The following is a 23686-nucleotide window of genomic DNA, read 5'->3' on the forward strand; positions in this document are numbered from 1 at the left end:
GGAGGGTAAATTGATAAATTTTATATTAAACAATATTCAAATTATTGAATAAACCCTTATGTCTTTTAAAACTAGTAAACGTTACTTTTTAGAGCAGTTTGAGGTTCAAACAAAGTGGAGCAGAAAGTATAGAGAGTTTCCGTATCCTGCCTGTTCCCACACATACACAGCCTTCCCTGCTATCAGGCACACAGTGGTCCATTTGCAGCTGATGGACCTACACTGACACGTCATTATCACCCACCCTTCAGAGTTTATATTAGGGTTCACCATTGGTGCTGTGTACTCTGTGGGTTTGGACAAGTGCATAACGACATGCGTTCATTACTATAATGCCATACAGAGTAGTTTCACTGTGGGGGTATAGTTCAAGTGAGAAACCTAGAAAGTTACAACCTAGGCCCACCTCCTTCCATTTCCCTTATCCCTAAGGGAACTTGCCCTTACATTTGCCTGAGAAAGATCAACCTTTTCTCTGCCGTAAGGACCTGGGGTGGAAGGAAGGCAAGACTGACCTTAATGTTCTCTGTTCACCCCAGCTGCCACAGCTGCTGTTTTGCACCCCTTGAGGCAGAATTCCCACTAATTTTCCTTCCCTCGGGTACTTGATCCACTTCTACTGCCTGCTGTTTCTTTTCCTTTCCATATTCGTCTCTCCCTGAATTTTTCAGTTTTAAAGATCTGAGAACAATCAACTCCTGTCCTGCTTTTGTTTCATCTCCAGAGTTGGTTTTGGCATCAAGAGGCAGCATCTTACATTAGTTCTCTTCTGTCAGCCAAAGGAGAGATTTAAACCTTAGTTTGTTTGACTCCAAAACCCATGCTGTATGATGTAATAAATAAAGAGAAAACTGAGGGCATTAGAGCAACTAGAATTCCAGATGCTATCTTGAATTAAGAAGCAAATAAACAATTGACTTTCCTAGAGAAATTCAAGGGCACATATTTTTTTTCTCTGACCCAGATGTAATAAAACTTCATTGCAGAAAATTTCAAAACAAGTTATTGTAAACTATAAATAACCACTATTTAAATTATGGTATATTTCCTTCCAGTTTATTTGAATAAGTTTTTCAAGGCATAAGGAAAAGCAATTTACATTTCTCTTCTTTAAAAAAAACTGCATAAAGAAAAAAGAAAAATCCTAGGACAGTTCAAAGGGAATCTACTTCAACCTCAAATACAGAGCCATATCCCACTGAGATCTTGGCAAGGATAACCTCCAGCTCCTTAGAACAGTCCTATCTCATGCCAGTGATTGAACAAGTCATTCAAAATCCATGACCTATGTCAGTGCATATAAATTTAAAAGAATCCAAAAAAGTTTTGCTACTGTTAGAAGGACCTTCTGTTTTCCTCCAAAATGCTTGGACTGTAGCAATTTCATATCCATAGTCCATTGCTTTGTATTTTGGAGGATCTCCCCAGGATCTTTCCCAGGATCTCCCCTCCTGGGACCAAATTTCTTAGTACAATTGTACCTCCCAGCATTATACTTGGTTGTTAAATGGATAAACTATCCGAAAAAAATTAAAAACTCAACAATGGCTTGAGGATCTTTCATCACTTTAGAAAAAACCCGGTTCAATATTCAGCCACTATTGCTTGCTGACCATGACGTACATGGCAGTAACTAACTTAACAAAAACTCAAAGGAAAACTCAGGCCTTTACTGTATGCTAGAAGGTTCACTGACAACTTTAGTACATTTTAAAGTCCTGTAACTCCGCCTTAACCTCCACTGTGGCTATGATCTAATATAAACAGAAAATGAGGGAGAGGCATATAAGAAACAAGGTCCGCTGATCAATGATTACATGTTAGCCCGACCTGTGTTTTTTGGCAGCTAAAATGACACATAATAAAGTGACTTGACTGATGTAAAATTTGATGAGTTTTATTCTCATTTTTTCCATGGGAAAATGAGTTTCCAGGGAGCCCAAGGCAGAGGAAACCAACCCCCACTCCTTTCTTCACGGGCTTCCACTAATGGACTTACATGTGATTAATGAATCTCTCGAAGTAGCTCCTTTTTTTCCTTTCCTTTTTTTATAATATTACAGCTTTATTGAGATATAATTCACATCTCATACAATATATCCACTCAAAATGTAAAATTCAGCGGTTTTTAGTGTATTCACAGAGCTGTGCAAGCCATCATTAGAGTCCATGCTGAAACATTTTCATCATCCCCAAAAGAAATTCTGTATCCATTGGCAGTCACTCTCCATTTTCCCCCAACCTCCTCATCTCAAGCTCAGGCAACTACTATTATACTTTGTCTTTACAGATTTGTCTATCATAGACAATTAATATAAAAGGGACTGTATAATACATGGCCTTTGTGTCTGGCTTCTTTCATTTAGCATAGTGTTTTTGAGGTTTATCCACATTGTATCATGTATCAATAGTATATGTCTTTTTATTACCAAATAATATTCCATTGTATAGAAATAACACATGGTATTTATCACTTCATTAACTGTGTTTACTTTTTAGCTGTTATGAATAATACTGCTATGAACTTTCAGGTACAAGATTTTGTGCAGGTGTGTTTTTATTTTTCTTGGGTACATACATAGGAGTGGAATTGCCAGGTCATATTGTAACTCAAAATTAAACTTTTAAGGAACTGCCAGAACTCCCATCTTTGATCTGGTTAATTCGTCTTCCTTCAAAAGACACTTATCCAGAAATGTCCCTACTCTTTATCTGCTCTAATTCCCCTATTTTTCCCTGTCATAACACACAGTACTTCATAGCAATTGGTACATTTGTGATTCCATAGCTACCTGGATGCGGACTCTATGAACAATAGTTATGTAGCTCATCACTGGATCTCAAGCCTGTAGCACAGTGTTTGATACCTAGTAGGCACTCAATAAATATCTACTGAATGAATAAAATGAGAGTCACTATTTTCTATAAGCCTACAAAGCTGACATACCAAGGTATTTTATATAGGAATCACATATCTTTATTTTTTTAGCCTGAAATTCACCAGTCATGATATTTTTCCATTAAATTTGCTCAATAATTTTTGATTATCCAGAAATCATCAAATATACTGGCCTAGAAAATCAGGATGCATAAGGAGGGTATCACAGAGGATGAAAGTTTTAGTCCCAGCTTACACCTGCAATCGCAACCATTGATCCTATCACACTTAGTGCTTTTTTCTGGGAAGCAAGAGAATACAAACCACCCCATGCCATTAAGCTCTAAAGTTAAACCAAGATAACTAGACCCTATTGTCTTACAAGTTGGAGTTGTACATGGTAGATATGTGTTAAATATTGTTTGTTTTGAATATAATTTATCCATGTAACTATTTCTCTCATTTCAAATATTGGAGTTCATTTCCTATTGTTTGCATAGATTGGTACAATTTTCCTGGAGGGCCATTTGATTAAAGATGTGCTTTCTTAAGTGTGCATATGTCTTGATTCACAAATCCACTTCTAGGATGTGATTTTGGAGAGATAAACCAAGGTGTGTGTGTGTATATGTGTATGCAAAATTTAAAACTTTTTAATTAAAAAATCATATTATATTTTACAAGAAAACTGCAGCCACAACATTCTTTGGGTAAGAGGGCTTTAGGAAAATGTGTGCTTTCATTAGCAAAAGAAGTCATGTGAAAAATAAACATGAATTTTCTATTGTAACTGTATGTTGTTGCATAGACAGAGTGTTTGGTCTCAAAGCTTTCCTTCCTGATTATATCAGAAAGATTTTTGAAATTTTGAGGGATGCTTCCCTGGGTGCTTAGGAAATTCATCTTTGATTCTGATGTTTTGTTTCCTGAAAAAAGTATTTTTGAATATTAAAATATAAGAATCAAGACAAGTGTTACTGTTAAGAGTAGAATAAGGAGTTTGTGTACTTTGATGATTTTTAAGTCTCTGAATCTTGAGGGTAAAGAATCTGAATGCGTTTTATTAAGTATTCAGTTGTGATTTTCTGGCTGGGTTGATAACTATGAGTTATGACAGTGGAATAGGAATCAAATACTTCATTATGGCTCCACTTGCCCCACCACCTTCATTTTGCTCTCCAGTGAAGTGTGAAGTATAAGGATGTGATTAATATTGTCTACAAGGGATTCATGGTCATCTCTGACTCTCTGACTTTCAGGCCCATGGTCAGTTTTAGGAAGCAGAGGGAATATGTGCCATCAAATTCTTAATCTTGAAAGCAGAAAAGTGGTGTGCAATAAGGCAATCCACCTTAAGCTGTTTAGATGAATAGAAAAAAAAATGCATAATTAGGACCAGTCTGAGCTCTCAGCTCTCAGATCTATAGTACCTGGAAACCATGGAAGCCATCTGAGTGCCTCTGAAGTAGATTTGGTTGGAAAATGGAAACATACGCCCCAACAATAGCAAATAGCATTTGGGGACTCACTGATTTGAGATTAAGTTGACATTTAAGTGGGGCCTTTACCCCTAAACTATCAGAACAGTGCAGCCAACAAATTTGTCTGTGAGGGGGAAGCAGAGGAAATGTATTGGGTCATTTGAAATAAAATCTCTCACAGCTGACCCGTGAGAGGTGCTGATGGCTTCCAGATGGAGCTTTGTCCAGTTCCCATTGGCCAGATGTCTGGGCCTGTCCAGCAGGATTGTTTTGTATGTAGAGTGGGGAACCATGGAAATAGCATCAGGATTGACCAAGGGCTTACCCCTGAAATAAGAAAATTCCAGTCAGAGGTGTGGTCTATAGTTTGAAGCTCATTCAGTGCACTGACTGGCTTTAAACTCCAGCTCCATTCCATCAGAGCTCTGTGCCTTTGGGCAAGTTATTTAAACTCTCTGAGAATTAGTTACTTCATCTGTAAGATGGGGAGAATAAGAAGGAACACAGGCTTGCAGAATTGTTGTGAGGAATACAAGAGGTGATCCATGTGACATACTGACTCAATAGCCCTTAATAAATGCTAGCCATTTATAATTATTAATTTCATTGTCATCACCTTTCTATTACACAAACATCGACTGAGCACCTGTGCTATGCCTGGAGCTTTGCTGCGTCCTGCAATGCAAACATGAGTAGAACCTGGTCATGGTTTTCAGGAACTTCAGTCAATTATAGGAGACTGAGAAATAAACCACTAACTGCCCAGAGTGGATGAGTGGTGACAGGGATGTGCACACAGTGTTTCAGAAGAGGGGAGAGGAGAGTGACACATCCCCCCACCATTGCCACACACTGGCATCAGGCTTGGCAATGCCATTTCAATAAGTTTAAGACAGCCCCATAAAATAGCCCTATTCTCCCACTCAACAGGTGAGAAAACTGAGGCAAAAGTACTTTGCTAAGTTCACAAAGCTAGTATACAGCAAAGTTTGGTTCGTCTTGCCTTGTCCTCTCTCTACTCAACCAGGCTGTCTCCTGAGCACCAAGAACACCTGGATGGCAGGCCAGAAAATGGTCCACAAATTAGGGAAAGTTTCTATTCTAGATAAATAAATAAAAGTTCTGCAAATGGCAAAGGGCAAGAAAATCTCATTCCCACCAGGCAATGGGAATAGTATGTTTAAAAGTATGAAATCATGAAGACAGTGTAGACAGACAACTACAGTTGCTGCACTGGGTCTAGAAAATAGGTTCTGGGTACGCAGGTGGAGTCTGTGAAGAGCCAGGGGAAATGAGGAATGAGACTACAAAAGTCAGTGGGGACTAAAGCACAAAAGGACACTGTCGGTGATCAGAAAGTGTGAATTTATTTGCTATGATATGTGCCTTTCATCTAGTCAGTCTCTCGGCTTAGCATGAGCCATCGGCGGACACTCATGAATTCCACTCCATAGCAGAATAGAGGGATGAGCTGGAATTAATGGGAATTAGGCACAGTTTGAAGATCTCTAACACCTCCAATTGCCTGCAGGCAAAGAAAAGTGCTCCAGTTCATGGATTTTAATGCAGTTCTTCCCTAAATGCAGTGAATTCCACAAATAGAAATTAAGTGCTTACTTTGTAGAATGCACAGGTTTAAGTATCAAAGGTCTATAGGCATGAACAGAAGAAATTCTTGTCTTTCTGGAGTTCACTTCTTAGTTGAGAGACACAGAGACTAAATGTCACAACAAGTCAATCATACAGGATGGTGGTAAGTGTCACTGAAAAAATAGGGCAGAGGAAGGGGGTGCATAGGGCTAGCCAGGGGCATTGGTCACAATTTCAAATAGGATAGTCAGGGGAGGCCTCACACACAAAGAGATATTAAAGCAAGATTTAAAGATGTGAGAGAAAGAACCAGATCTTGGAAAAGATAATCCCAGCCAAGAGAACAACCTGGGCTAGGGCTGAGGCAGGCTCACACCCGATGCATTTGAGGACCAGAGTGGAGTCATTCATGACTGGGACTGAGCACATGAAGGGGACAGTGGAGAGCTTCTGGCTCAGAAGTGCCTGGGAGTTAAAGGGGGAAGTCATTGGTGGGTTCTGAGCAAATGAGCAAACCTGGACTGACTTAGATTTGAAAAGGTCCCCCACTCTGTCCTCTGTGGTGAGAATAGACATAAATAAAAATTTAAACCAAGAGTAGCTAGATGCCTCACTAGATCAATGGCTCTCAAACTTTTGGACTGTGATTCTTGGGAAAGAACACATTCTACATGATGACTAGGATATATGCACACACATACGTAACTACTGCAGAATTCTATAATGACACCAGTTGCTTGGTTACTCATGCTACATAGGATGAACTCTGATGTTTTCTATCCTAGTTTAGGTTACTCTATTTCACTTTCAAAATGTCTGTTTGTCACCCAATAAACTGACTTTATGAGTATATCAGTTATAATCTGCAGTTTTGAAAACACTTGAAAAGGGATCTTTGGTCATAATGTTGCATTGTGTATATATGGTGGTCCATAGCTGTCTTGGTGCTGAATACCCTAGATAAGGCAGAGATCCATTAGTTTGTAACATAATGGAAATAATATTAAGTCCAATATATTCTTGTGGTAGAAGCAACTGATGACAATATTTACCTTTAGGTAAATCAGAGATATAGCTCCTTAAACTATGGATTAAGCTGTCAGATTAGATAAACTAAGGTCAAATATTAAGTGGGAAGGAAATAAAATATAGCTGCAGTGCACATGAGAAATCAGTGTGTATAAAATGTGTTAAAAGTTTAATTAAAGAATGAAATGTTAAAGCAGGGTGCAGTGCTGTGCACCTGTAATCTCAGCTACACAGGAATATCATTTGAGCCCCAGGGGCTTAAGACCAGCCTAGGCAACTTAGCAGATCCCATCTCAATAAAAAAGAAAGAAAAAAATGTTAGCTTTTTCTATGACCAATATATACCATGACTAGGGAAATATTCATACCTAACCGATTTACTGAATGCTGGTTTTTGTTTTCTAAAACTTTTTCTTTCACATAGAAGGAAAATTTTCCATTACAGATAGTATTTTTTTGCAGCCATAGAGTATGCCTATTAAACTGGACATTACACCCAGCATAGTGCTACTGGAGACATCCAGGCTATAGGAAAACACTCCGGTAACATGGCTGGACCTGGAATCAGTCACTTTGTAATGTATGCTCGGAGTATGTTATTTATGTAAGGTTGAGTGACCCTTTTTCAGGCTCTTAGCCACCCTTTGAACCTTTGCCCATGTATATTATCAACCTTCAGTTGATATGCTGAAATATTTGGATGCCGAGTTTATAGCAGGGACTAAAGCAGGGGGTGTCAAAACACGACAAGAAAGGCTTTTTCTTGTTTGATTTCTGGCAGGGATCAGAGTGAAAGTGATGGAAGGCTTGGGAAAAAGCCCAATCCTGTCAGTTATTCTAGCCAACTTGGCAGACTCCATAGGTTTAGAGAGTTCAGATGAGCTTTGTGTCCATAAACCTTTGAATACTTATAGAGGAACTAATCTTCCTGTCTGAGATTTTCTGAGGTTCAACACATCTCATTGCTCTGGAGCCAAACTTCTAACTACAATCAGATCCTTCTCTTTCCCAAAAACAGCAACACGAAAAGGCATTGAGTTCTGATCGCATGTGCCAAACCTAAACTCACAGAAAATGGCAAAAACGTTGATAGAATATGTGCTGTACCTCACCTGGATAAAGATTCTTATTACTGTCTCAGCTTTGTAGTGTACACCCCTCAAAACCATCTGGAGTGTTTTGTTTGTCTGTTTTGTGTTTTTAAAGCTATGAGAGCTAACACAAACCTTTTAAATGTGAAAATTTCTGCTTTGCCCCAGGAAGTTATAGACTAATTTTTAGTGTTCTTTATAAGGGAGAAGATTATTTACTGATTTGTGTTTTATAAGTGAAGAGTGTGTGTGTATGTGTATATAAAATAATTTATGATTTACATATACTCTAAAGCTACTTAGTAGTTAAAAATTTCATGATTCAATTTTTTTATCTGTCATATAATTTGTTCTAGATAAGCCCTTAATAAAAATCAAGATTTTCCAGAGAAACTACACTATCTGGCAGCCTGTAATACTGAGCAAAGAAGGAAAGGCTCTAATAAGGAATCTGAGCTTTTTACTAGACTCACAGTTTTTATGTTATACAGATCTCGGATATTCTTCCTAGGGCTTTGTAGAGGTCTGTGCAAGTCTCCACGTAGATCTAAATTATCTCCAATACACACATTTCCTTGAGAACATTCTTATTGAAACCACATTTTCAACCTTAAGTCCCTGGTGTTACTGTGCCTACGAGGCTGGCTCAGAACCAGAAATATGTCTCACATATTACTGCCACATTTCCTGAGTGAATTCAGGGTTCCAGTTGCAGGCTGAATTTTCTCTGAACTGTAGATACATTCAAGAAAGGCCATGTCTTATAAAATAACCGGAGAATGCTGGCAGGCACACTTCCAGGAGGCATGTTTTTTATGCCCAGTGCTACCATAGAGTCCTCTGGGTGTGTGTATCTTCCAGCTTGGTCGGCAGGCCAGTTGGCATTCATTCTATAACACATCCCAAATGTATAAGTAGGTCACCAGAAATGGCCCCTCATGGATAAAAGAACAGAGCATTCGCTGAAGGGAGAAAAGTCGGGAGGGAAGACAATTTATAGGTGTTTCTTCATTACCTATATACAGAGTCCTTCACCCAATGTCTAACATTGATCTTCCCACTGCAAATATTGATAGTGTGAACACCCAGAAAGAATGTAATATGCTTCAAACACCTAACAGAAATCAAACCAAAGAATAGGAAATACACTCTCATGTCGTAATTTTGCAAAGCTAGTTTTTACCGCTGTATCATAGATTCAACAAAAAGAGAGCTCCATTATGCTTCAACCATTCAGTATTTGTGTTTGTCTCTTTCTATTTCAGCTTTGTCTTAGATAGCTTTCTAATGTGTTTGTTGGTTTTGACAATACTTGAGACTGTATCAATAGGAACTAACACATTTTAATTTCAATTTAAAATGAAACTCATCATAGTAAACAAAATTGCAAAACTAGTTTTTCATATTGGAATAACCTCTGTAATTTTTAATGGATGCCAGTGTATTCCACTTGTGGATAATTATTAGAAGGCATTTAAGGGCTTTGCTTTCCAACCCCAGATTTCTAAGAGCCACTTACATAGAATCTCATGAACATTCTTATGACGGCCTCTGTACAAAGAAAAGAAATGAACTAACGCCCTACCTTGTAGGAGATTGTATTTTAAATTTTTTGCTCAAATTGATGAAGATAAACTCAGAAGTCTTGCTAGAAAAAGATAATAAACATTCGCCCCATTTATAATTTAGGACACCTAAATATTTCCACTGTTCTTTGATCTTACTGAACTGAACAATCCCAAGGGTACATATATCTACATTTTATTGTGGGGAGGGGTTAATATGGACTGTTTTTAGACTAAAAAGCCTTCCAGACCCAAAGGAATTAAACTCTAATGGTGCCATTCCTGAAACTGGGGCAGGCAGTTGGGCGGAGATGGGTGTAGAGAAAAAGCCACAGTCTTTTCTGCCAGAGAACAGGCACATCTGTCCACTGGAAAGGTCAGCCGTGTCTGTTCTCTGGCAGAGAGGACTGTGGCTTTTTCTCTACCCTCATCCCCATTCCATGGAACCAAAGCCAGCTCCTAGGAGCATACCAGGCACTTAATGAACAACTTCATTATTCTTTCAGGAGAGCACTAGCCACAAATCTAAGGAGTTTGGAGAAGAATTTTTCTTGGATCTATTTTAGTATTTTTTCTTCCACACTTAAATGTGGATAGACAAGATGGTTCCTCATTCAGTCAGAAGAATGCATGTCAGGCCACAGTAGAGCATCAGTGTTAAACATTCTTTCCTACTGGAGAACACAGGTTGGGAAGACACAGCCGTGAATGCAGAGACAGTCCTGCCCAAGGGAGGCTTGGCAAAGCACTCTGCCTTTCCTGCTAAAATCCTAGGGGTGACTAACTTCCCTACTCCTGGTACTTACTCAGCAGATCACCAGACCATGTTGTATGATGAGGAAAAAGAAGCACTATGGTAGTATAAATTCCATGAGTATGTCCATGTATAATGAAGGCAAGACTACCCAGAAGGAAAATAATACAGGGATTGTCTACAAGTGTAAAGGGTGTGTTTTCTCCATCTGCAGAGGCTGCAGCAATAATGAGAGACAGCACCTTAATAAGCCAGGGCTCAGTTCCCAATAAGACTTTGAAAGTGATCTGGCTCAACGCACATCAGCATTCAATTGTGCTGAGCATTAAGAGCTTAGGTGCACACAGCAGAGTATACTAATGAAACATTCCTAGGCTTGTTGCCCTCGAGAAACACGCTTTCTGTAGAGTCATAGTGGGCACACTTCTCTTCTATGATTTACTATTTTTAATTTGTTTTGCTGTTGTAAATAGTGACTGGGAGCAAAAGAGTTAGATGAAGTAAAAGAGTTAGAGTTACTGAACGTGCATATACCGATTATGACTTGAACTTACTTGGGATTAGAGTTCTCACTATTACTTACTTTATTTTATTTTATAAGAATTTTGATTTTGAAAAGATTGGGTATTACTTACAAAATAATAATACCTACTGGGTTTTCTGCATCAGATTCTATACCAACTATTAAGAAGAGAGAGAGAGAATGACCAAGGACATGAGCAGGAAAACAATGAATTTGAACTCTAGTAAGAGGGAGAGGAAAAACTACCTTACTGAAGGGGATTAGGAAGTCTTCACAGTCAAGACCACAGAAATCTGGTTTTCCAGAGGAAAAACGAGGCTGAAGAGGTGATAATGGACTACAGGCCAAGCTCTGATGACATGATTGTGGTATACAACAAAATACGAAACTCCTTCTCCCAAGGGTTAGACTGAGCTAACCTTAAAAGTCAAGTTATTACGATTATGTAATTTCGGGAAAAATGACACACCAAACTTTTAAAACAAAAGTGTCAAGAAAAAGAGAGACAAAAAGAAAAAGGAGGACGACGTGACAGGAGAACAAAAGAGAAAAAGAGGAGATAAAATCATTTCCTAAGCCTAAGGCAGCATTTCCCTTGATCTTCCTGGTAGATGAGCGATTTTTCAAACCCAAACAATGTTTCATGGGGAGTTACAATTCTGCCTCTGGGGACCCCAGGGGAGGTGGAGCTGAGGTGAGGGAGAAGTGAAATGAGTTTCCAGGTCCAGGCTCTACTGCTTCTCAAATAATGATTTCTACTATAGATGTAACTTGTTCCCAGAAAATTATTTGGAGTCTGGGGCATAAGACAGTTTGAAAACCACCTTCTAAGTTATCATACCTTATGGTACTATTTAGCATGATTTTTCAGATGATATTCATGATGGGGCCTCCTTGGCATTCCTTCAAGCCAAGTGAAAAAAATCAGAAGGCTTAATGCCTCAATCAACCTGTCTCTTTCATCCCCCGTAATATCCCATTGCAAGAGTACATTAACCTAGGCAACCGGCATAGTGTCAATTTCTTTGCTTCTCTTGGAGGGCCATAACTGTCAGTGGAAATTATTTTAGTTATGTCAGCTCTGCAGAGGAAAGTACAAAAACAAGGGAGTCTAAGTCCTTGGAGTTCTACGTTTGTCTCAGTCTTCAACTTGCTTCCTCAAGAGATAATATGTGGATTCTTTTCATATGCCAGGTTCCTAAAGAAACCCCACCACCACCACTAATTTCCCATCTTTGCAGTTCCTTTGCCCAACCCCGCAGAACAGCTACTTCTTGTCTAAATTACAACTATAAGGAAATCTCATAGGTATCTTTCTTTTATACTTTCATGGTGGATTTCAGGCATTGCCTCAGGGATTCAGTTACTAAACCTAGTTTAAATGGAAACATTTTTCATTGTAAATGAAACTTAGATCCTTAAGACTTAGAGAACTTGTAATATTGGCCATAATTAATTCATGTGATGGAGAGGGGAATACTCCAAATTTCCTTGTTTTTTTGAACTAGATAGTTTACTATCCCTTGTAGAGCATTCCTAATCCACTATATTTAAGTGTGGTTGAGATGTCTCAAAATCCTATGCATTCTGACATTTATATTTCTTAATAGATTTATAACTCATTTCTGTGCTATAATTAGAGTTTTATACTTCTAAATCAAAACCATTCATCAATTTTCATGTCCTTGCACCAGAACGTCTACATGTAATAGAATTGCTTAGAGACCCCTAGATCTTTGCTAATCACATTAGTAAATTCTTCCTTGGTACCCTATCTTATTATGGCAACAACATGTGTTTCAAATTTCAGCCACTCACAAGTCATTTCTTACAGAAGACGGAGTGCATTGCACATGTCTAAATGATGAGCATATGTTAGCACACAGACATACACATGAACATACTCTGAGTCAAAGTGTGCTATTGGGACTATAACCCATCTGGCCAATGAAAGTTATAGATGAGCATTTGAGGACTGACTCTTCTAATTCACATAATTAATAAAGCTTGTTTAAAATGGAAGGCTCATATTGCTATATTTATTTACAGTGTTGCCATCTTAACTAATAGACTCATTTACTATTCCTGAATTCAAGTTATGGCTTTCTATCTCTTGGAAGGTTTCAGTCCAAATCAATTACAGCTTGTGGTCACTATGCCCTTGTCTGCTGTAGTAATAATGTGCCCAGCTGAAATCTTTCTTTGAAGTATTAGAGACATCATACCAGAAAATACTTACCTTCAGTGAAGTTTCACAATTCCTTTGGATACCTGCTAAATCTGACAACCTGCTGTACATTGTTGAAATTTCAAGTGTTTTCTACTCTGAAAAAAATAGGAAATACAGAAAGACTATATAAATCTAATCAATACTGGGTATGATTCTTAAGTGAACAATTTCTATTTAACATACTATATGCCCCTGGTTTATAAGTTTACAAAAAAAAAAAGGGGACATTTATGTTTAGCCAAGGATGGTTTAAATGCAGGTACTTAATGAAGAGCAGACTTATACCAATAGCTGCTCATCCTGGAACCCAGTGATGCCTGTTACTTCCTGAAATTCACATTGGCAACATCACTTTTGATAACCAATAGCCGCTGTAGTAACAAAGACCTGGGAGCAGAGATCATTCACCCAGTAAGTGCTGTGAGTTGAATTGTGGCTTCTAAAAAGATATGTCCATGTCCTAAACCTTATAACCCATAAATGTGACCTTATTTGGAAAAAGAATCTAAACAAATCTAAGTAAGTTAAAAATCTTGAGATGGGTTCATCTTGGATTATGTAATTGAACCCTAATCTAATGACAAATATCAGGAAAAGACAGAGGGAGATTGAAGGCAGACAGAAGAGAGAGGATGTGGACTACAGTAGAAGTCCCTGTGAAGACTAAGGCAGACTGGAGTGATGGGCCACAAATCAGGGAATGCCTGGAGCCACCAGAGCTGCAGGGGATAAGAAAAGATTCTCTCCTAGAGACTTTGGAGTCAGCATAACCCTGTGGATACCCTGTTTTTGGACTTCTGGCCTCTAGAACTGTGAGAGAATTTTGTTTTGTTTTGTTTTAAGCTACCAAATTCATGATAAATTGTTTTGGCAGCTGCAGGAAATTAATGCACCATGACTTGCAAGCCCTTCTGAAACAGCAGATAAAAATATAGAATCATTGCATGTCAATAAATGTTACCTTTCAGTTTAGAGAGGAAAAGCAAGCCTGAGCTATAAGTATAAGCCTGGAAAATGGAAAATGTTTTATGAATGGTACAGAATTGACAGTGGTGCAGGCTGTTCCATTTCAAGCTAGGAGGAATGACATATAGACAACCAAAGAAGAAAGCAAAAGGCAGATTAACTGACCCAGAAGAAAGTTTAACGTCATAAGTCAGACATACTGAATCATTAGGACAAAATATTTTTATAGATCGATTGAGCTATAACTAAAAACACTGCATAGAGAAAAATCTTATAAAACCTTCATATACAAGATTGAATAATTAGCACATTTCCAAGAATGTGTGAAAAGGAGTGAGGGGGTTCCCAGTGTGTCTTGATTTTGTCTTCTGATAAGGTTTCCTGAAATAAATACACAGGCTCCTCATGGGTCGATCCAATGTGTGTGTCTGCTCACAGACTGTATTCTGGGCGATCTACAGATACAGGCACAAAACTCCAAAACTCACCTTGCATTTTATTGTTTGTATTGTTCCAGTTCATTTTTTTTTAAATAATATTTTTTAGTTCAAACAGTTCTATTTTTGGTTCTGCACCATGATTTCTCATTAATTGTGAACTAAGGCAAGTGTCTTTTTTTTTTTTTTTTTTTTTTGAGAAGATGTTTTGCTCTTATTGCCCAGGCTGGAGTGGAGTGGCACAATCTCGGCTCACTGCAACCTACGCCTCCCGGGATCAAGTGATTCTCCCGCCTCAGCCTCCCAAATAGCTGGGATTACACGCACCCGCCACCATTCCTGGCTAATTTTTTGTATTTTTAGTAGAGATGGGGTTTCACCATGTTGGCCAGGATGGTCTCAAACTCCTGGCATTGGGTGATCCACCCGCCTCAGCCTCACAAAGTGCTGGGATTACAGGCATGAGCCACTGCACCTGGCCGCAAGTGTCTTCTTGATGGTATCAGTCTATGAGGATTCACTGCCCATGGTACAAGAGTGTCAGCATCCATGCTGATTGACTGTGGGAAATCCAGGATTGAGCTGGGGCTTCCCTCCCCAAGAATGAGCTGCGGTTTCACTCTGTTGCCATTTTCATCTGAGGAGACATCTTGCCTTGAATGGATTCTGTGGTCTTATCAGAAGGTCACGGCAGGTTACCCCTTGCCATCTTAGGCATGGAGTCTTTCAAGATGTTATTTATTTATTTATTTTCTTCTACATTGCTTTGCCTCAAATTTGAACACAGGCCCTTGTCCCAATTCCCCAGAGTGATAGTGAAGACTGATTTCCACCTTTAAGAGATTTTACTTGAATTTGGGGAAAAATTGAAAGAGAGAAACAACTTTGACTATGACTAGTTGTGCTCCCAGTCTCCCAAGCCAAGAAGGGTGACACCACAGCTTCACTCCCAGATTTCTATCATTTTGATAGGCTCCTCCTCCAAATAAAAATTTCTCCTGGTGGGCCCGGTGGCTCACACCTGTAATCCCAGCACTTTGGGAAGCCGAGGCAAGTGGATCACCTGAGGTCAGGGATTCAAGACCAGCATGGTGAAACCCTGTCTCTATTAAAAATACAAAAATTAGCTGGGCGTGGTGGTGGGTGCCTGTAATCCCAGCTACTCAGGAGGCTGAGGCAGAAGAATTGCTTGAACCGGGAGGCAGAGGTTGCAATGAGCCAGGGTCACACCACTGACTCCAGCCTGGGTGACAGAGTGAGATTCCATCTCCAAAACAACAAAAAAGAATTTCTCCTCAGCCTCAAAAACCAGGCTTCAAAATAGAAAGAGGACTACCCTAATCAATCATCACACTCCTCTCTATCTCAGCCTAACCTTTGAACAAAAGAAAAAACATGTTGAAAGCAAAATGTTTAGCTAAAGTTCATCTCATCCTGTGGCAACTCCTCCTTCTTTCCAGATAACCAAGCCAATACTTCTAGAGTCATCTCTGAATTCTCCCTTTCTCTCACATTGGATGTGGGCTCTGTCAAATCTTGTTACTTCTAATTTCAATATATATCCAGAAACTGAACTCTTCTCAGACTCTCCCACTACCATTTATTCCAAGCACCCATCACTTTTTGTCTGACTTAATGAAGTAGCCTCCTAATTTGCCGCCTTGTCTAGACCTTGCTTTCCCTACCCCTAATGCTATGTTCTCCACCCGAGTTAAAAAGACACTTTTACTATTTAGGTCCACTTATTTTACAACGCTACTTGGGACCCTCCACTCCTTCCTATTACCAGCCCTGGCTCGAGCCCCACATTTTTAAGCCTCACTCAGCCCCTCCTGTCACTGACAGTTGTCTTCAAGAGCCAAGAGACGGTGATCATACAGAGCCCCTCTCTTTTCTCTCTCGCCCTGCTGCTGCAATATGAGTAGCTTGGACAGGCATTCTCTGACCAAATGATCACTTCTAGCACTTCTAGCAGATCACTTCTGCTAGAGCCTCTTCTCTGTCTGTCCTCTCTGGGATAACCTGAGTAAGATCTGTCTATACCTCTAAGCTTAAAAGATGGCGAAGGGGCAAGGTCAAGGGTGTGGCTGTGGATCTCTATTTTCCCTCTTGCCCTGGCCCCAGAGCTGTTAGAGACTGATCTGTGCTTCCCAGGTCCCCAGAGAAAAGTCATAACTTTAAAGTCCCCCAAGGCTATATCAGATTTGTCCCGCCCCCGTATCTCTCCAATCTCATCTGCTCCAAACTTCTGAGCCTCCTTGCTGTTCCGGGAATACATAGACAGATTTACATCTCTGGGCTTTTACACTAGCAATTCCCTCTGCCTGGAATTCTCCCTCCATCTCTTTTCCTTATATTGTTTTGCTTCCTAGCACATTATCATCTTATAATATGCCATATTATATAGTAATATAATATTGTACATAAATATATAAACAGCATAATGCTAATGTGTATCTCATACAAATATAAAATAAAAACAAGTCAAAGATTTTATTTTGTTTATTAACTAATGAGTGAACAGTAAGATGTTAAAGCTGGTTCATTGAGATTTATATTCTTTACTTGAGAAAATTAATATTCATTGCTATGCCCAGGAAGCATTTGCTTTGCTATGGATAGGAAATTATGCGTTCTTATCAGTTTCTACACTTCAATTCTGTCCCTACAGAGTTGTAAAATAGCCTAGTCAATCAAAAACAGTTCAAGGTGAACACCTTATAGATTCCGATAAACTCTGGAGTAGACAAGGCATTCCACTGAGAGGACAGCCAGTGATTCCTTTTACCCAGGCTCGTCTTGGACACATTAAGTTTTGCCAATAACTATATACTCATATTCTATATTAATATACTAACTAGTATTAAAATATGGCTAACTTTCTATATTAGAATGTAAGTTCCTTAAAGGCAAACATTTCTACACTTCCTTTAGTTGCTATATCTCTCATGTCTCGAACACTGGCTAGGACATGGTAAGCATTTAGTAAATTCTTGTTGAATAAATGAGTTAAAAACTTCACCAGTATATGCAATAGATGCATGGAAATAAAGGCATCTAAATCTACATAGAGAAAAACGTGATTATCCCAAAATATAGCATAGTCTTTGAGACTTCATATGAAATTTGCCATCACATTTTGTTTTAAGTAGAATGCTTAACTGCATATCTTCACCTTTCTTCAAGGCTCCAATCAATCACCAAAACAATAAATGGATTCTTACATTATATTTACATAATAAGCATACCTATAGTGTTTTGTTTTTTTGAAAGCCCCCAAGGTAAATTCAAGTTTCTACCTATTGGTACGGGACCGGCAGAGGGGGGGTGGGGGGTGGGGGGGGGGGAAGGGGGGAAAACAGCTGGCTTGTTTTCCTCCCCACGTTTTCAAAAATCTTGGAATCTAGAAGGCCTGGGGGCCTAATTACAAATGAGCTTTTTATATACTTCATTGGACATTAAGGGACACAGGAAGTTTTCCATAAAGAAACTTATTTTTTTAATTTTTAGCTGAGTCCAGCTTACAAAATCTTTGTAAGAGAACATGAAAGAAGAACAAGTCTCATTTTGATACATTTTATGTTTGACCAGAAGGGCTCCGCAGTTCAATTGCTTAGTTTCCAGGTAAGAATTTCAGTGGATCTCTTTTTCCTGTTCTTGGGTTTTTCTCAAGGGTAGACCAGCTATCTTTACCAATCTCATTAGTAAGTATTTTTAAAAAGAAGGCAAAAAGCAAATAAACAAAATCCCCCCTCCAAAAGTTCATCAATGCTCTTGCAACCTCAAAAACAAATTTAAACACATTTTTATAGGAAATGGTTACATGAAACTCTTTACTTAGCTAAATTGCTTGTGCATTCATTGAATGCAAGAATTAAAGATCTAGCTAGTTAAAATCCTACTCTATAAGGAAGTTGAAACTTTCTAAGCTTCTATCCAAACTGGAATTTGGCATATTGAGCCCCCAAAAAGATACTCTGAAGACAATATGTAGGAGGAAAGAAAACAAATGCATACATTTATTGAGTGTTTATCATGTTCCTGATGGCGTGCTAGCAATTTTCAAACACTTTTTATGTAATTTTCACAATAATCCTAGGAGATAGTTATCATCCTCCTCAACCTCATCACCATCCTTGTACAGCCGGTCCTCAAATAAGCTCTCTTCTTTCAACGTGGTCTTGTTATAAGGTCATTACACATTTTTTTGTTCTAACACTGACCGTGTGGAGTTCCCACATTCTCCCCATGTCTGTTGTAGGTTTTCTCCAGGCCCTCCAGTTTTTTCCCATATCCCAAAGATGTGCATGTTGGGCTAACTGGTATGTCTAAAGTGTCCTGGTGTGAGTGTACCCTGAGATTGGAGGGCGTCTTGTCCAGGGCTGGTTCCACATTGTGCCCTGAGCTGCTGGGGTATACTCCGGCCACCCAAGGCCCTGAACTAAAATAACTCAGTAAATATAACAATTATTTTACTTGTTTTAATTAATCTTCCTAAATGTATGTATTGCTCGCATTTATTTCAATGTTTAATGTTTTGGTCTTTATCTAGAAGTTTGGTGATGTTTGTGTGACCAGAAATATGCCGTAAGAAGCTAAGTATTTTTAACATCAATTCGCCTATGGGAAAATTGGTTTTCTCATAGTTGATTCTCTTAAAGTCACCGTTTCCAAGAAATTATCAATGATGTTAAGTGAGGACTTACTGTATATGAGGAAATTGAAGCTCATGACATCAAATAACTTGGTCAAAGTCACAGAGCTGGGGAGGAACCCAGGCAGGGTTCAGAACTAAGAGTCTGAGGCTCCTATCCTTTTGCTCGTTACAACTGGGAAGCTGCAACCCATATCATTTTATTCTCTTCTGTTTTATTCTGTGCTCTGTAAATTGGCAGTGAGGCTTAAAGTACTGCAGGAAGGAGAAATAGAAATGGAAGAGATTTCAATCATACTCATCTTTAAAATATACATTTTCAAGATGTTACAATTACCCATTGTCAATGTATGAAAATGGTATCCAGTGAGCTTCAGATTAGGGCTACAAATATTGATTGATGGGTGCCACAATCAGCCTGACCTGGAAATTCTGACCTGGAAACAAAGTAATTGAACTGAGGAGCCCTTCTGGTCAAACATAAAATGTATCGAAACTAGACTTATTCTTCTTTCATGTTCTCTTACAAAGATTTTTTAAGCTAGGCTCAACTGAAAATTAAAAATAATAAGTTTATTTATGGAAAACTTCTTGCATCCCTAAAACTTTTAATGGATGCCACCATCAAAGGTTTCTTGCCTGGAAATTTCTTAATTCCTCTTATTCAATTGAAAGGGGCTTTGCCAGTAGAATTTGTAATTCTATTGAATTACATAAAGGAGTACATGAAGAAGTTTCTTGACAGGCTTCTAAACAAAATAGCAATGTGGCTGTGGACAATTCTTGCATGTGTATCTCATTTTTTGCTGGCGAGCATAATTCTTTTACCTGGCTTCACTTGGCGGTTGAAAGAATACAATGAGGTAGAAGATAAAAAAATGTTTTCCAAAATCTAATTTTAAAAATTGTTGAATGATACCATCATAAGACATGGTACAACACAAAAATCCATGTTTTCAACTTGTCCTTCTCTGTCTTCAGTGAGATGTGTGCCACTGTCACCTATGGCTGAAGCTGTTCCTTCCTGCAATGAGAGCAGCAGGGAGAAGAGGGCATAGACCTTCCACAGTGAATCCTCACAAAAACACTGAGAACTCATTATTGTTCCCATTTTATAAGTGAGAGAACTAAAGGCCAGAAATTCCAAATCACTGGTTCAAGTTCATTTAAGTGAAACTCAATCTTTTACCACTAAACTCTAAGCTGTATGTTCATTTTCCCATGCCATATCCTGTGATTCTGGAGCTTATACTCCAGAATCCCCACATCTATCCATTAAAGTCCTTGCTGAAATGATGTAACTGCCTGATGGGTTCTTCTCTGCCACTTCCCAGATACAGCTGATTTATTAAGACAAGAGAATTGCAATAGAGAAAGAGTTTAATACATGTAGAGATGGTTAAACAGGAGACTGCCGTTGTATTATTACTCAGATCAGCCTCTCTAGAAATGTGAAGGCTAGAGGTTTTTAAAGATAGTTTGGTGGGCAGGGGCTAGAGAATGGGTGCTGCTGATTGGTAGGGGTGTGAAAAATGGTTGTCATGAGTCATGGGTCTGAGTGGAGCCATCCAGTCATCAGAAATCCACAGTCTGAAAAGACATCTCAAAAGGCCAGTCTTAGGCTCTATTAGATAAGTGCAAAAGTAATTGTGGTTTTAGCCATTATGGCAAAAATCACAACTATTTTTGCACCAACCTAATACAATAGTGATGTTATTTATAGGAGTACTTGGAGAAGTTAAAAAATCTCATGACCTCCATAACAATGGCTGGTAATCCACCAACATCTTAGCAGAATTCAGGCCCCTCTCATCCTCCTAAACTTTTGGTCTTTTATTAGTTTTATAAAGGAAGTTTAGTTTGGGGAAGAACAATTGTCATTTAAAGTATAAACTAAATTTCTCCCAAAATTAGTTTGTCCCACACTCAGAAATGACCAAGGGAAATTTGGAGGTTAAAGGTAAGATAGAGTTAGTTATGGCAGATCTCTTTCACGGTCAAAATTTTCTCACTGTCATAATTTTTACAAAGGTGGTCTCAGTGACAGGGTTTGGACAGTGCCACAGACTGGGAGACCCCCCAATCTGCAGCCATGCCTCAGAGGTAGAGATGCTGAGGGTGCCTGGGAAGGCAGTCTCTTTCATTTGGAAGGTATAGCACATTAAACCTCTGTCAGGCACTAGCTGCTTCACTTAAGTGAGTTTGTCTCATTATCTAGTTGTTTCCCACGGTCTCAAAGTAAAGATAATGCAACCATTAGTTTATAATCAGCAAGGACTTCAGAAAGGCCAGAATTTGGAATAAATCCTACATTTCACCTAAACCTTTCTATGAACTTAACAGCGTATGTTCATTCCTGAAGCTTATTGGTTTGTGATTGTGGTAGGTAAATTTAAAGGAAGATCTGTGGAGAAGAAAGGCTCTACATTAGACAGATAGCTGGAAATTGCTTAGCTTACACTTTGAAGAAAGTTTAAAAATTTGGTTTGATGAAACAAATGTGCCTCCTGAGAGTCAAGTGCCTCTTTCTTTCATTTAACCAAATGAATCACATGACTTGACAAGGCAAAGATATCCCAAGTCATATTGGATATGATGAAGTGTTATAAGACAAAAGAAAAGAGACCATGAGTTTAGAGAAAACCTTTTCCTTTTGTAAAAAATAAAAAAGAAACAAAGGGAGATGAATGCAAAACAGTTGTGGCCATTTGAAAATCTTGTTTTGTATATAATGCCCATGTGCACAGATCCGTGTTTTAAAATAAATCTGAACATTTACCCGAGCCTCAATTTAGGTCCACTACTATTTGTTCTGCCTGTTTTTATCATGATTTAAGCTTTGTGTTTTATTGTGCAGAAGGACTATGTGGCAGGCTAATGGTCTAAATACCTATGTCTCATTTTATAAATATTTATTGCCAACTGGTACATTCGTATCTTTGAAGTCACAGGCATGGCCCACTGGGAGCCCACACCTCCCTCCTCTGGCCTGTGGAGGATGACTTCCCCAGCACTCTTGTTTACATCAGGATAGCTTCAACGTGGAGTGATTTTTTAAAAAATCTACATCTTTTCACATCACTCATCTTTGCTCTGTTATATTTTTTCCCTCCTTCACCTTACATCTCATGCAGTGAAGGCCAGAAGTACTAAACCAAACAACCTAATCTGTGTTGCCCTTGAATTAAAGCATTGGTTCAGGATGAGCTAGCTGATCATTCATAACCTGCCTGGGGTTGCTGCAAAGGGCCGACAGGGTCTGGGGGAGAGAAATGAACAAAACTCAGAAGAGAAACTCAACATAAAAGATGTGATCATGGAGAATCTCCAGCATCAAACTGAAACCCCTGGACATAATTCTACTGGTAATCAAGAGCCACTGGAAGTTTTGAAGCAGGAGAACCTCACTGAGAAACATTGCTTTAAGAAAATGAATCAGACAGTGTACAAGAAAGACTGCTGCAGACTGGAGGAGGAAGGATCAATTAGGAGGCAACTGCAATAACACAGATGAGAGGGGATGCAGACGTGGATATGAGTACAGCTCTGTTAGTATTTAAGACCCAGATGATGAGAGTGGAAATAGATAGGAAGGTGCTGATGGGAGAGATGTCAATCATAGAGTTGATGACATTTGGAACTTTTGGGTATAGGCAAAGGTGAGTAACCATACAGGACAGAAAAAATGTGGAACAATAATTGATAGAAAAATGGGCCGGGTGTGGTGGCTCACGTCTGTAATCCCTGCACTTTGGGAGGCTGAGGTGGGTGGATCACCTGAGGTCAGGAATTCAAGGCCAGCCTGGCCAACATGGTGAAACCTCGCCTCTAATAAAAACACAAAAATTGTCTGGACATGGTGGCGAGTGCCTGTAATCCTAGCTACTCACTGGGGAGACTGAGGCAGAAGAATCGCTTGAACCTGAAAGGTGAAGGTTGCAGTGAGCCAAGATCGCACCATTGTACTCCAGTCCGGGTGACAGAGTGAGACTTTGTCTCAAAAAAAAAAAAAAAAAAAAAAAAAAAGAAAGAAAGAAAAGTGGGGGTCACATTAAGTTTCAAACATGCAAGAGGAGAATGTTTAGAACAAAAGATCATACAAATTACTGGAGATGGAATATGCTGAAACCCACAGAGGTAATGGGTAAGAAAGGAAAGGTGGGCACAGCTTAGTACTTAGCTGTCTAAGACATGGCAGGTGAGGGAAAGAAAGGCAGACAGGAATAGCTCCTGATTTCCAGCTTGGATGGCCATGTGGTAATAATAACCAGAATAGAGTAAAAAGAGGAGGAGTGCTAAGGTGCTAAGGAGCAAGGAGTGAGCCCATACATTTATGTTTAATTTGAGCTTTTCACGGTCTGTCCAGGTGAAAACATTCAATAAGGCAAACTCACTTGCCAGAGCTCTTTGGAACAGATCTATTTGAGCAATATGGATTTGAGAATGGTAACAAGAAATTTAAAATACTGTTCAGAGGAGCAGAATTCT

At 39.0% G+C, this 23686-nt stretch overlaps 1 long non-coding RNA gene across 1 annotated transcript; it reads right to left on the minus strand.

Annotated features, from left to right (window-relative positions):
• LOC105375247 (uncharacterized) lies at window positions 1-22903 on the minus strand. Its single transcript, XR_927199.3, has 3 exons — window positions 19251-22903; window positions 13151-13236; window positions 1-9031 (listed from the first exon to the last, which is right to left on the minus strand). It is a non-coding gene; the product is annotated as an uncharacterized LOC105375247 (long non-coding RNA).
• Window positions 22904-23686: the final 783 nt, after the last annotated feature.

Source organism: Homo sapiens, chromosome 7, assembly GCF_000001405.40.
Source record: "Homo sapiens chromosome 7, GRCh38.p14 Primary Assembly".
In the NCBI taxonomy this organism is placed as follows: Eukaryota; Metazoa; Chordata; class Mammalia; order Primates; family Hominidae; genus Homo; species Homo sapiens.